The 14,166-nt window shown below is 40.1% G+C and overlaps 1 protein-coding gene across 3 annotated transcripts in view; it reads right to left on the bottom strand.

Moving 5' to 3' along the window:
- The window catches only part of GOLM2 (golgi membrane protein 2), a 127,040-nt gene that overhangs the window by 75,156 nt on the left and 37,718 nt on the right, over nt 1-14,166 (bottom strand). For all 3 annotated transcript variants that reach the window (NR_157849.2, NM_138423.4, NM_177974.3), the window contains exons 3-6: nt 11,816-11,918; nt 8,525-8,615; nt 2,696-2,840; nt 2,286-2,366 (exon numbers count right to left, since the gene is read on the bottom strand). Coding sequence is in view for 2 of the 3 variants with exons in the window: in NM_138423.4 (NP_612432.2) it covers nt 2,286-2,366; nt 2,696-2,840; nt 8,525-8,615; nt 11,816-11,918 (420 nt within the window). In the remaining variant the exon portion in view is untranslated. The remainder of the gene's footprint in view (nt 1-2,285; nt 2,367-2,695; nt 2,841-8,524; nt 8,616-11,815; nt 11,919-14,166) is intronic.

Raw genomic sequence — 14,166 nt, 5'->3', positions numbered from 1 at the left:
GACACTGCTGATCCAAAGACCACACTTTAAAAATCACCGAATTACAGCTAGGCACCACAGCTCCCGCCTATAATCCCAGTGCTTTGAGAGGCTGAGGCGGGACTATCGCTTGAAGACTGGAGTTAAAGAGTAGCCTGGGCAACAGTGAGGCACCGTCTCTACAGAAATAAAAATATTAGCCAGGTGTGGTGGTGTGTGCCTGTAGTCCTAGAAGGCTGAGGTGGGAGGATGGCTTGAGCCTAGGAGTTTGAGGCCACCATCAACTATGATCACTGCACTCTAGCCTGGGCAACAGAATGAGACCCTGTCTCTGAAAAAAATATATGTAATTTTTGGCTCTCTCTCTCTATATTTTTTGGCTGGGTGCAGTGACCCATGTTTGTAATCCTAGCACTTTGGGAGGATCACGTAAGCCCAGGAGTTTGAGATCAGCCTGGGCAACATGGTGAGACCTTGTCTCTACAAAAAAATAAAGAAAATAGGCTGGGCATGGTAGCTGATGCTTGTAATCCCTGCATTTTGGGAGGCCAAGGCAGGCAGATTGCTTAAGGCTAGGAGTTCGAGACCAGCTTGGGCAACACGGTGAAAACTTATCTCTACAAAAAAACTATAAAAATTAGTCAGGTGTGGTGGCACATGCCTGTAGTTCCTGCTACTCAGGAGGCTGAGGTGGGAAGATCGCTTATGCCCGGGAGATCGAGGCTGCAGTGAGCTGTGATCATGCCACTGCACTCTGGCCTGGGTGACAGAGCGAGATCCCATATCACAAAAATAAAAAAATAAAGAAAATAAAAAATAAAATTAGCTGGGCATGATGGCACACACCTGTAGTCTCAGTTATTCAGGAAGCTGAGGTGGATGGATAGCTTGCGCCCAGGAGATCAAAACTGCAGTGAGCCATGACTGCACCACTGCACTCCAGCATGGGTGACAGAGTGAGACCCTGTCTCAAAATTTTAAAAAGAGGCCGGGCTTGGTGGCTCATGCTTGTAATCCCAGCACTTTGGGAAGCCAAGGTGGGAGAATCACTTGAGGTTAGGAGTTCGAGACCAGCTGGCCAACATGGTGAAACCTCGTCTCTACTGAAAATACAAAAATTAGCTGAGCTTGGTGGCACACACCTGTAATCCCAGCTACTCAGGAGGATGAGGCAGGAGAAATGCTTGAACCTGGGAAGCTGAGGTTGCAGTGAAACAAGATCACGCCACCGCACTCCAGCCTGGGCAACAGAGAGAGACTGTATCTCAAAATTAATTAATTAATTAATTTTAAAAAATCACTGGATTACTTCATTGTCTTACAAACAAAGCTTGCTAATTCTGATTCTTTATTTTCAAATTCATGTTATTGCTTTTGTCCTTACCTTTATTTTAGGGGAAATCACTATGAATTGGAAACCCATAAGAATTTGAGAAGACAATAAAACTATATAAATGAAAGGACAAATATTTCATTTATTTGATCTAAACATTCAGCAATTTCAGTCATGTACAACTAGCTATAATCACAGAAGTAATTACTGAGACTGAGAAGAAATAAAATCAGCCAAAAGCAGTAGAGGCATGCTGTTAATTTCTTATTTTTCTACCCTAATAAATTGGAGTCAGCAGGGAGGAGTACCATTAATAGCCAAGAAACATAGATATGGCAAGAAAAACAAAGAAGAGACATGAAGGAAAAAAATGAAGGGGATTAGAATAGCAGCAAGTGGGAGCAGGCCTTCAAGTGAAAATGGATAAGCAGCAGACACATTAAGGAGGAAAGAGACATACAATGAACAGAAGTGGCCAGAAAAGAAGAAAAAAAATGTTAAACAAACTATCCAAAAGTGTGGGGTAATTCACTAAAAGGACAAGCCAAGCCCTCAAAACTAAATAATTAAATAACTCTTATTAGGGTATTACTATGCCATATTAAAGCACACCAACAACACAGGAATCTGGGCACATTTGGTGGGAAAGAAAAGAGCCATGCATACTTTTAGTAAACATAAATGACTCTATATAGTACAACTGTCATAAGCAAAAACTCAGAGTCGCAAAGAAAAGATTCAAATATAGGTGATTCTTATCAAGGCAAAAACAAGTATTTTATACATCTTAGCAAAAAATTTTATAAAAGTTGGATCCAAAAAAAGTCCTGGCAATTAATGGGTACTTAATTAAGTAGAAATATCGATCATCCAGATATCTGTGACTTTTCCAAGTGTTACCGAAAAAGAGAATGGGGTCACATGAAATGTATTATCATCACTTTAGTCGAATTCTCTAACAATTTTTACTTACCAGGGGGAAGATCATCAACTTTTGCTAGGTCATTCTCTTCTATTCCAGGCATCCCTGCATCACCACCTCTTTTGATTTGTTCTGCCCAAGTAACAAAAAGATAGAATTCTATCGTTTTTCTTACATAATTTGAAAATGTTTTGAAGGAATGTAACAATCAGTTTCTAAAAGTAATAGGCTACATCAACTGAACATCTTTACCTCTTGCTTTGGACATAGCTGTAACTCTAAAATAACTTACTCTTTTTTCTCTTCTATCAAACAATCCAAATTTGAAACAATGCAGACACTTAATCATGTGTGAACTAAAATCAAACAATTTTCTTTATGATTGAAAATATCCACTTCAAAATGGGAAGAAAAAGTCAATATCCTATTAATACAAAACAAAAGAATAATAACAATAATACCTTTCCCATGTGGAATATGATTGCTTGAGGGTTCTTCATTCTTATCTGCAACATTCTCAGCTACTTTTGGAATATTTTTAGGTACTACTTGATTGTTTATATCCAATTCCTTTCCATCATTTGATTGAATCTTTTGGGTCTCTTGCTGTTAGACAAAATTTGGTAATAATATTTTTCAGTTCAAATTGTTAAACCACCGACACAACTATTAATTAAATGTTCTGAAACAGTTCATCTTGTAAAACATATACCATGGGTTCAAATAATGAACAATTGGAGATGCAGGATACATTATTTTCTGTGTGATTTTTATACCTGATAAAAAGTCAAAGAATAACACTTTTGAAAATCTCTAGCTACAGTAAATGAATGATTTGGTAGGCAGAGGTGACTCTGCTTGGCTATGCTGAGGTGTGTGATTCTGCAAGACAGCCTGCTGAATACTCTAGGTTACCCTAATGGCCTAAAATTGGGCATCTTCCTGGGTGCTATGGGCAGGGTGGGTTCTCTGTAAGCATATGTTAGAACCAAGCAGGATGGCAGTAAGGAGGAGACTGGTACACAGGTGCCTCTTCAAGAGCAAGGGTGAAAAACAGGCAATCTTCTTCCTAAGTGTGCTGGCCACCGAAACACAGCAAGTAGTGGCAGGACAATAAACAGGTCAGTGCTTCCTCTAACCTGTTCCTAACCTAGCATCTTCTTGGAAATGTGAATCTTCAGGTACATGGTTAGGCCTAACTCAATTCTCTTGGTGGACCAGTATTAAGTTTGCCTCCATGGAAAATTGGGAGCAGCAAGGATTCAAGTACACAAGCTTGGGATGCCATATACAGGTTCCTCTAGTCAACATTTAATGCATCTATAAATGCTTTGTAAACTCTAATGCAGTATGAAATATAATTCTTAGTAATGTTATAAAAATAGTACGAAAAATCTATATGGAATCTAGAAAAACAAGAGCCAAATATTTTTTTTTATTATTATTTATTTCTGAGACGGAGTCTTGCTTTGTCGCCCAGGCTGGAGTGCAGTGGCGCGATCTCGGCTCACTCCAAGCTCCGCCTCCCAGGTTCATGCCATTCTCCTGCCTTAGCCTCCCGAGTAACTGGGACTACAGGTGCCCACCACCACACCCGGCTAATTTTTTGTATTTTTAGTAGAGACGGGGTTTCACTGTGTTAGCCAGGATGGTCTCGATCTCCTGACCTCGTCATCTGCCAACCTCGGCCTCCCAAAGTGCTGGGATTACAGGCGTGAGCCACCGTACCCGGCCACAACAGCCAAATCTTAAGAGTGTGTCACAATAAAGGAGAAAGAGTACTCTGACAATTAGGTGTAGGTATTCCAGTGTCCTGGCAAGTAAAATCAACAATAAATATTTGCATCGTGTCTCATAGTTTCCAAATTGCCTTCATAGCTGTCCTCTAGTAGAAATAAAATTAATAGTTTTGAGAAAAACAAAACTGAGGTATTAAAAACTTAAGCAGTTTGGGCCAGGCACGGCGGCTCATGCCTGTAATCCCAGCACTTCGGGAGGCCGAGGTGGGCGGATCACGAGGTCAGGAGATAGAGACCATCCTGGCTAACACAGTAAAACCCCGACTCTACTAAAAAATACAAAAAATTAGCCGGGTGTGGTGGCGGGTGCCTGTAGTCCTAGTTACTTGGGAGCCTGAGGCAGGAGAATGGCGTAAACCCGGGAGGCGGAGCTTGCAGTGAGCCAAGATGGCACCACTGCACTCCAGCCTGGGCAACAGTGCAACACTCCATTAAATAGAAAAAGTTAAGTAGTTTGGGCCAGGCACGGTGGTTCATGCCTGTAATCCCACCACTTTGGGAGGCAGAGGCGGGTGGATCATGAAGTCAGGAGTTCAAAATCAGCCGGACCAACATGGCGAAACCCCGTCTCTACTAAAAATACAAAAATTAGTCGGGCATGGTGGCGCATGCTTGTAATCCCAGCTACTCAGAAGGCTGAGGCAGGAGAATCGCTTGAACCCGGGAGGCAGAGGTTGCAGTGAGCCGAGATCGGGCCACTGTACTCCAGCCTGGGTGACAAAGCAAGACTCTGTCTCAGAAAAAAAAAAAAAAAAAAAAGCAGTTTGTCCAAAGTCACAAAACTAGAGAATTGTGAAGAAGGAATTCTAACCACAGTCTTTCTGACTCCAAATCCCACATTTCCTGTAAGTTGGTAAGCTATAATCAATTCTGATAGTTTAATCATTGATGAATGAAATGATAAACTGAAATTTTTGAACATGTCAATATAAACACCAAGGGTGAGAAAATCCATGAGGTACAACCTGAGCAGCCAGCTTGCATGTCTGTGCATCTTCACTATAATGCTATCTCATAAGGCTATTGCTATAGTACTCTTCACTCTTTTCCAGATATGGATAAGAAAAATATTGAACAAAATTAAAAGTCAACAAGCTACTGTTCAAAAATACTTTTCCATTGAAAATAGTTAACAAAGATGTTGTATCTTTAATGTACTATTGACAGTACCTTTCTATGAATGGACAATATTAATATTAATAAAATAAGATGCTTTTCTAGATGTAATGTTTGTGATTTGGTTAGTGGGCCTCCTGATTGTTTTTAAAATAAACTTCTTATTCTGAAATAATTCTAGATTTACAGAAAAGTAATCACCCCTTACTCAGTTTTCCCTAATGTTAAAATCCTGTTAACCTACCATCCATAATTACCATGATACATTTGCAAAACTAAAAAAGAAAATCAGTATATTATTACTACCTAAACTCCAGACTTACTTAGATTTCACCAGTTTTTCCACTAAGTCCTTTTTCTGTTTCAGGATCCAATTCAGGATACTACACTGCATTTATTTTAATTTTTTAATTTTTTAATTTTTGAGATGTAGTCTCGTTCTGCTGTCAGGCTGGAGTGCAGTGGTGCAGTACTGGCTCACTGCAACCCCCATATCCCCAGTTCAAAGGATTCTCCTGCCTCAGCCTCCTGAGTAGCCGGGATTACAGGTGCCAGCCACCATGCCCGGATAACTTTTTGTATTTTTAGTAGAGATGGGGTTTCACCATGTTGGCCAGGTTGGTCTCGAACTCCTGACCTCATGATCCACCCACCTTGGCCTCCCAAAATGGTGGGATTACAGGTGTGAGCCACCGCCCCCAGCTACTACACTGCATTTAAGTCCTTAGTCTCCTTAGTCTTCTCTGGGCTATGAGAGTTTCTCTGCCCTTACAGCATGAACGCAGTAAACAAATAAGCATGGCTGTGTCTCAATAAAATTTTATGTATGAACACCAAAATATAAATTTCTTATAATTTTCCCAAGTACTAAGATAATTTTTTCTTGATTTTTTTCAACCATTTGAAAATGTGAAAACCACTTTTGGCCTCTAAACAGTACGAAAGCAGGCAGCAAGCTGAATTCAGCCTGCGGGCTATAGTTTGCTGACTTCTTTTCCAGAGTCATTTCTATGATAGACATGTGGCTGGTTAATTAATTTTAAAATTAATAAAACAAAAAGATAAATCCCTGAATACAATTTATGCTTATTTCATATAGCTAACATTGGATTTGTCTCTATGAAAACTCAAATTGCACAGAACCAACTTGCCATAGTAGTTAAAGTACAGGAAATGAAGGGTGGGGAGTAGAATTAGGTAGCTGATCTAGAGGGTAAGGGCTGATGTGCTACCCAGAAAGGAGAAGTTCTCTGGGCACCTCAATTCCTGCCATGCCTTGTTCCATTTAGGGTAGGATAATGGCAAGGAAGAATTGGAGAAGCATTAGTTAATTAATAACATAAAAATAGCCTAGTATAGAAGAACAGAAAGAGAATTACACTGGCTTGGAAAAAAAGGGAAAGCTCTCATCTGTATTCCTTAAGAGAATAGAAGAGAGCGGCCGGGCGTGGTGCCTCACGCCTGTAATCCCAGCACTTTGGGAGGCTGAGGCGGGCAGATCACGAGGTCGGGAGATCGAGACCATCCTGGCTAACATGGTGAAACCCCGTCTCTACTAAAAATACAAAAAATTAGCTGGGCGTGGTGGCAGGTGCCTGTAGTCCCAGCTACTCGGAAGGCTGAGGCAGGAGAATGTGTGAACCTGGGAGGCGGAACTTGCAGTGAGCTGAGATCACGCCACTGCACTCCAGCCTGGGTGACAGAGTGAGACGCCATCTCAAAAAAAAAAAGAGAATAGAAGAGAGCAAACTTATCCCATTATTTATATACTACGCTTATAATGACACAATTGCAACAGCAAACCTCTCTTCCCCTTCCTTTTGTGTTCCATTATGTTCTTTTGACCCTCCAGTGTCTCAATAATACCTTTTGGTTGCCCTCAATGCCTCTACTATGGTAGCTCACTCAGGCCTGCCTTCGTCCACCAATCCATCCTTAAACACCTCTTCAAAGTAGACTGCAGATAGGCAGCAGGTATTCCACTTTGTAGATTCAAAAAATGAAATGGAGAAAGAAATGACACCCTCTATATCCTACTATAAAATTGTGAAAAAGCTAAGAATGAAAACCTGATATCCTTAACTTCTAGTCCTTTAGTTGAGATGCTACCAAAGAGCAAAACAAATACTTTTCACTATTAAATCTTTTTTTCCTTTAAATCACAAGAGTTCATAAAAATCATGCCTGGTTAGGTAAGATTACAAGGTATAAAAAAATGAATTGGCTGTGCGCGGTGGCTCATGCCTGTAATCTCAGCACTTTGGAAGGCCGAGGTGGGCGGATCACAAGGTCAAGAGATCGAGACCATCCTGGCTAACATGGTGAAACCCTGTCTCTACTAAAAATACAAAAAATTAGCCGGGCGTGGTGGCAGGCGCCTGTAGTCCGAGCTACTCGGGAGGCTGAGGCAGGAGAATGGCGTGAACCCAGGAGGCGGGGCTGGCAGTGAGCCGAGATCACGCCACTGCACTCTAGCTGGGCGACAGAGCGAGACTCCATCACACACACAAAAAAAAATGAATCATGTCCTTAATAATTAGTAATCTTCAGACAATTTCCTCTATTGCTAAAAGAATCTTCATAATACATATTAACTTAAAATGAATTAATAAAAGAATTTGCCCCCCCCAAAAAAAGTATGAATCAAATTGGTTGTAGTGGCTAGTGTCTCATTTCTGTGCTTTAGGAAAGGGTGTCAGAATAACAGAGACTGATGATAAAGGAAAAAGTGTTTCTTTTTTTTCTATTTCTCAAATGTATAAAAAAGGAAGTAGTTGATTTTCAGTAAAAAAGTTGCCCACTTTACAATCTGAGAAATATATTAACAACAAAAATTATTTTTTTAAAAAGATGGATATTTTGGTTCAAAATTAATTTAAATTTTTTTTTTTTTTGAAACGGAGTCTCACTCTGTTGCCCAGACTGGAGTGCAGTGGTGTGATCTTGGCTCATTGTAACCTCCTCCGTCTCCCAGGCTCAAGCGGTTCTCCTGCCTCAGCCTCCTGAGTAGCTGAGATTACAGGCATACACCACCAAGCCTGGCTATATTTTGTATTTTTAGTAGAGATGGGGTTTCCCCATGTTGGCCAGGGTGATCTTGAACTCCTGACCTCGAGTGAGCCGCCCGCCTCAGCCTCCCAAAGTGCTGGGATTACAGGCGTGAACCACCGTGCCCGACCAGTTTTAAGAATTAAGATTATATTTTTGCAAATGTTTAATTTACTCAGAAATAAAGCCATTGTAAATCACTTTTGGAATTAGGCTGGCTGGAAAACTTAAAATATAGTGTTTTGTGACAAAATTATAATTTTAATTTCTAAATTACCATGATTTATAATAAAAATATTTGGATTTAAGTATATTTTTAAAATTTACCTTTTGTTCCTCTAAAAACTGGTCTGCTAACTTTTTAATATTTTCTTCATGCTGTGCTCTCAATTCCTTCATCTGCTGTCCACACTGAAAACTAAATTACAAAGTCATTCTTTTAGATTATATTATCTTGGATTGGATTCTCAAAGTTGTCCAGAAGTTGACACATACATAAGAAAGATAAAACACTCAGTTAGCAGGGGAGAGTGGGCTGGAAAAAACAGAGCATACAAATAGCTCACAATCAAAACTTTTAAAATACTTGAACTTGTAATAGGAGGTAGATAATACTGATAAAGCTAATTGAGAAAACAGAAATTACAAAGATAAAAACAATTCTTTTCCTATTATTTCCATAAATTGCATCTATTAAAAAAAAACTTTCAAAACCAACTTCAATCACAGAAGAGAAAAATACTATAGAAGAGAAAACTGTGAGACCAATTTATAGTAACAGATGAGGAAAGCTAGAATTATGAGAGCTGATAAGAAGTGGCAGCAGAAGATTCATCCAATAGTAGTTTAACACTGTAATAAAAGGCTAAACCATAGAATACTAGGAACGAAAGAAACTAATAAAGAAGATAGACTGGTGCCATCAGGAGAAAGTGAACAGCAGCAAAACAGATAAAGATGGTGACTTTCTGCTAGCCAAGTAGTCAAAGGATACACATACACCAATCATGCAAAAAGAAACAGTTAACACACATATAGAAAAATGTTAACTTTCACCATTATAAAATGCAAATTAAACTTCTTATATGTGGCTAGGCAGGGTGGCTCACACCTGCAATCCCAGCACTTTGGGAGGCTGAGGCAAGCAGATCACTGGAGGCCAGGAGTTTGAGATCAGTCTGGCCAACACAATGACACCCTGTCTCTACTAAAGATACAAAAAATATAGCCAGGCATGGTGGTACGTGCCTGTGGTCCCAGCTACTCAGGAGGCTGAGGCATGAGAATAGCTTAAACCCAGGAGGTGGAGGTTGCAGTGAGCTGAGATTGTGCCACTGCACTCCCAGCCTGGGCGTCAGAAACAGACTCAGTCTCAAAAAAAGAAAAACACAAAACACAAAACAAAAAAACCCACCAACTTCCTATATGTATATATATATAGTAGTATCTTATTCCTATACTAACAAAATTAAATTAGAATTAAAACCAAATTTGGTAGGGCTATGGGGAAATGTCTACATTATAAATGAGTACAATCATTTTAGAAAGCAACCTTTCATCTATGCTGTAAAAGCAACAAAACTGGTAAATCATTCTTTTAGAGGAATTCTACATTTGAGAAAATATACTACTGAAATAACAAGGGGAGGGGAAATCTTTATTTTTTTATTTATTTTTGAGACAAGGTTTCATTCTGTTGCCCAGACTGGAGTGCAGGCATGATTATGGTTCACTGTAGCCTCAACCTCCTGGGCTCAAGCAATCCTCCCACTTCTGCCTCCCAAGTAGCTGGGACCACAGGTGTATGCCAGCATACCCAGCTAGTTTTGGGAAATCTTTTTTGCATAGACATTTTTATAGCTGTGATAGTCTTTTTTTTTTTTTTTTTTTTCCAGATGGAGTTTCGCTCTTGTCACCCTGGCTGGAGTGCAATGGCGCGATCTCGGCTCACTACAACCTCTGCCTCCCAGGTTCAAGCAATTCTCCTGCTCAGCCTCCCAAGTAGCTGGGATTACAGGCATGCACCATCAGGCCCAGCTAATTTTTTCTATTTTTAGTAGAAATGGGGTTTCTCCATGTTGGTCAGGCTGGTCTTGAACTCCCGACCTCAGGTGATCCACCCGCCTCAGCCTCCCAAAGTGTTGGGATTACAGGCGTGAGCCACTGCACTCAGCTTTTTTTTTTTTTTTTTTTTTTTAAAGAGACAAGTTCTTCACACCTGTAATCCCAGCACTTTGGGAGGCCGAGGCGGGTGGATCACGAGGTCAGGAGATCGAGACCATCCTGGCTAATACGGTGAAAGCCCGTCTCTACTAAAAATACAAAAAATTAGCCGGGCGTGGTGGCGGGCACCTGTGGTCCCAGCTACTCGGGAGGCTGAGGCAGGAGAATGGTGTGAACCCGGGAGGCAGAGCTTGCAGTGAGCCAAGATCGCGCCACTGCATTCCAGCCTGGGCGACAGAGCGAGAGACGTGAGAGACTCCATCTCAAAAAAAAAAAAAAAAAAGACAAGTTCTCACCCTGTTGCCCAGACTACAGTGTAGTGGCATCATCATGGCTCACTGCAGCCTCAATCTCCTGGACTCAAGCAATCCTCCCACCTCAGCCTCCCAAGCAGCTAGGACTACAGGCATACGCCATCATGCCCAGCTAATTTTTAAAAATTTTTTTCAGAGACAGAGGTCTCACTATGTTGCCTAGGCTGGTCTTTTAACTTCTGGGCTCAGATGATTCTCCAGTCTCAGCCTCCCAAAGTGTTAGGATTACAGGTGTGAACCACCATAACCTAGCCTGTGATAGTCTTAAAGTGAGAAAAGGAAAACTCCTACTGTGGTCCCACAATTGGAAGAGACTAAAGAAGTTTTGGTACATTAATATGCTAGAATAATATATTACCTGTACATACGTTAAATCTTTAATCCTATAGACATGCAGAAAAATACTGAATACTGTTACGTTAAAATACATATATTTAAGTAAATGTACAATGATAACCTACAAGAGTAAGAAGTCAGAAATGGACACAAAATGCTTTAAAATATGGCAAATCTTTCTAACTTTTGGTGTACAAATCTAAAAAATATCTTTTACCATAAAATTGATTACAAATATAATAAAAGTTTTAAGGCGTGATTGCTAGAAAGGCCTGTAAGAGGATCCCCAACCTCATCACCAAGTGTAGAGGTATCAGCAAGAGGGCTGACATGCAGAGCAGGAAGAGCAGCCGGCACTCAGTCCCTCAGCTCTTCTGGGAACATCTCCCAGTGCTGGTTTCATCTTCTGGATGTCCGTCAAAAAGAATCACAAATCTTCTTTCCATCTTTGCCACATCTAATAAAACTCAGAGCTTGTAAGATTTTCTCTCACAATGAATTCTACAACATACACAAACTCAACATGCCCTCTAAGAGATACTTCATGCTGTTTAATTTATCAAAATAAAAGAGTCTGGATTTCAAAGAGCTAAAGAAAGATAATAGAAAAGGAATTTAAAAGGCTTAACAAAATGAAAGAAGAGAAAAAAAGGGAAACAAAAGTCAGAGAGAAAGAAATGAACTGAGTCCAAAAGCTGGACAAATATTTTAGATTCATAAACATATGTTGCATGTAACATCTTACCTTTCATATTCTAACCTCTTCACAAGGTAAGTATTGTTCTTCCTATAGTCCTGAAGCTGGTCTTCTTGTCGAAGAAATTCCTGACGAAGCTCAGCAAGTTGCTCTATCCACCCAAGGTAAGAACCAAAGGAATCAAGTTCACTCATTGTAATGCTTCCTATTCAGAAGCTATGGGATGTTTTTTTAATTATACATAATTCTCAATTTCTTTAGTAATACTCCCAGGAAATTAAATTATATAACAAACACCACATTTAATATCCTTTTGTAACACATTCATGGTCAATAAAATTTATTCATTTATTTATTTGAGATAGGGTCTTGCTCTGTCACTCAGGTTAGAGTGCAGTGGTGCAATCTTGGCTCACTGCAACCTGCACCTCCTGAGCTCAAGTGATTCTCTCACCTCAACCTCCCAGACAGCTGAGACTACAGGTGTGCAACACCACATCCGGCTAATTTTTGTATTTTTAGTAGATATGGGTTAGCCATGTTGCCCAGGCTGGTCTCAAACTTGTGGGCTCAAGCAATCTGGCCACCACAGCCTCCCAAAGTGCTGGGATTAAAGGCATAAGCCACCATGCCTGACCGGCAACATTTATTTTTTAAAAAATATAGCTTCAGTGGCTTTCACATCAACCCAAAATATTCTTTAAATTACACATTGTTACACTTTGTATAGACACATGCTAAGCTGTGGAGACAATACAAAAAACTACCTATCTCTTCAAATCTATCTGCTTTATTAAAGTAGGAAAAAAGTACTATGGGTACAAATTTTAAGTTTTCTTTCTCATTTTAAATCACATTCGACTACCAACATAGGTGCCAATCACTTTAGATACATTTCTAGTTCGGCTATGGATGGTAGCTCTACATATCCCAAAATTCCATTTTCAAAGCTCATAATTTCTGGACTAGGACTGAATTTTTTTAGTGGAAATGAATCATGTGAAATTCCAAACTGGATAGTAAATTATAACCTGGCCAAACACTTGTTTGTAAATGTTTAATCCATAATCACCAGCCACACATGTTCTAGATTTCATTCCCTCATGATCTAAGCCTACAGACAAAAGAAATGCAGGCGGAAAAGAGTGAATGTTAATTTCACAGATAGGTGATTTTAAAAACAGCTAACAGCCTTAGCAGTTAAGCAAAAGTAGTATTAAGATAATTTTTAGAAATGAAAACAGGGGCCTATACTGTATAAGCAACAGCTATTAAGATTAAAATATAACATCTAGCCATAATGTACCAATACTATAACATCTATTTTTTACAGAAGGGTTACAGAATTAGTCTTATTCCTCTAAAAGCACTCCAAAAATACTTGGGAGATATATATACAGCCACTTTCCTGAGTAAAAAGGGAGATATAGATATATACGTGTATTTATAGAGATGGTCTCACTATTTTGCCCAGGCTGGTCTCGAACTCCTGAGCTCAAGCGATCCTTCTGCCTAAATCTCCCAAAGTGCTGGGATTACAGACGTGAGCCACCATGCCTGGCTGTTTTTAAAAAGCAGATGTTGGGGCTGGGCGTGGTGGCTCATGCCTGTAATCCCAACACTTTGGGAGGTGGAGGCGGGTGGATCGCCTGAGGTCAGGAGTTCGAGACCAGCCTGGCCAACATGGTAAAACCATGTCTCTACTAAAAATACAAAAATTAACTAAGCATGGTGGTCTGAGCCTGTAATCCCAGCTACTTGGGAGGCTGAGGCAAGAGAATCACTTGAACTCAGAAGGTGGAGCTTACAGTGAGCCGAGATTACGCCACTGTGCACTCTAGCCTGAGTGACAGAGCGAGACAAAAAAAAAAAAAAGCAGATGTTGGCTGGGCACGGTGGCTCACACCTGTAATACCAGCACTTTGGGGGGCCGAGAAGGGTGGATCACATGAGGCCAGGAGTTCGAGACCAGCCTCGCCAACAAGCTGAAATCCCATCTCCACTAAAAATACAAAAATTAGCCAGGTGTGGTGGCGCATGCCTGTAATCCCAGCTACTCAGGAAGCTGAGGCAGGAGACTCACTTGAACCCGAGTGGCGGAGGTTACAGCAAACCGAGATCATGCCACTGCACTCCAGCCTGGACAACAGAGCGAGAATCCGTCTCAAAAAAAAAAAAAAACTATAAATAAAAAAATAAAAATAAAAAGCAGATGTTTTTAAACAGCAGATGTAAACATATAATTGCATCCATGCAAAAAAAAAGACTAGAATAAAAATATATCAAAGTGCTATCAGTGAATGTGTCTGACAGTAGGATTTTGAACATATACTTTTTTTCTACACTTTCTAAATTTTATTGTGGAATTATAACTGTGGCAATAACGAAGAATAAAAATT

The sequence above is a fragment of the Homo sapiens genome, chromosome 15, assembly GCF_000001405.40.
Source record: "Homo sapiens chromosome 15, GRCh38.p14 Primary Assembly".
NCBI classification, from domain to species: Eukaryota; Metazoa; Chordata; class Mammalia; order Primates; family Hominidae; genus Homo; species Homo sapiens.
Note: the sequence above shows the minus strand (reverse complement) of the source record. Positions and strands in the feature narration are given on the sequence as shown.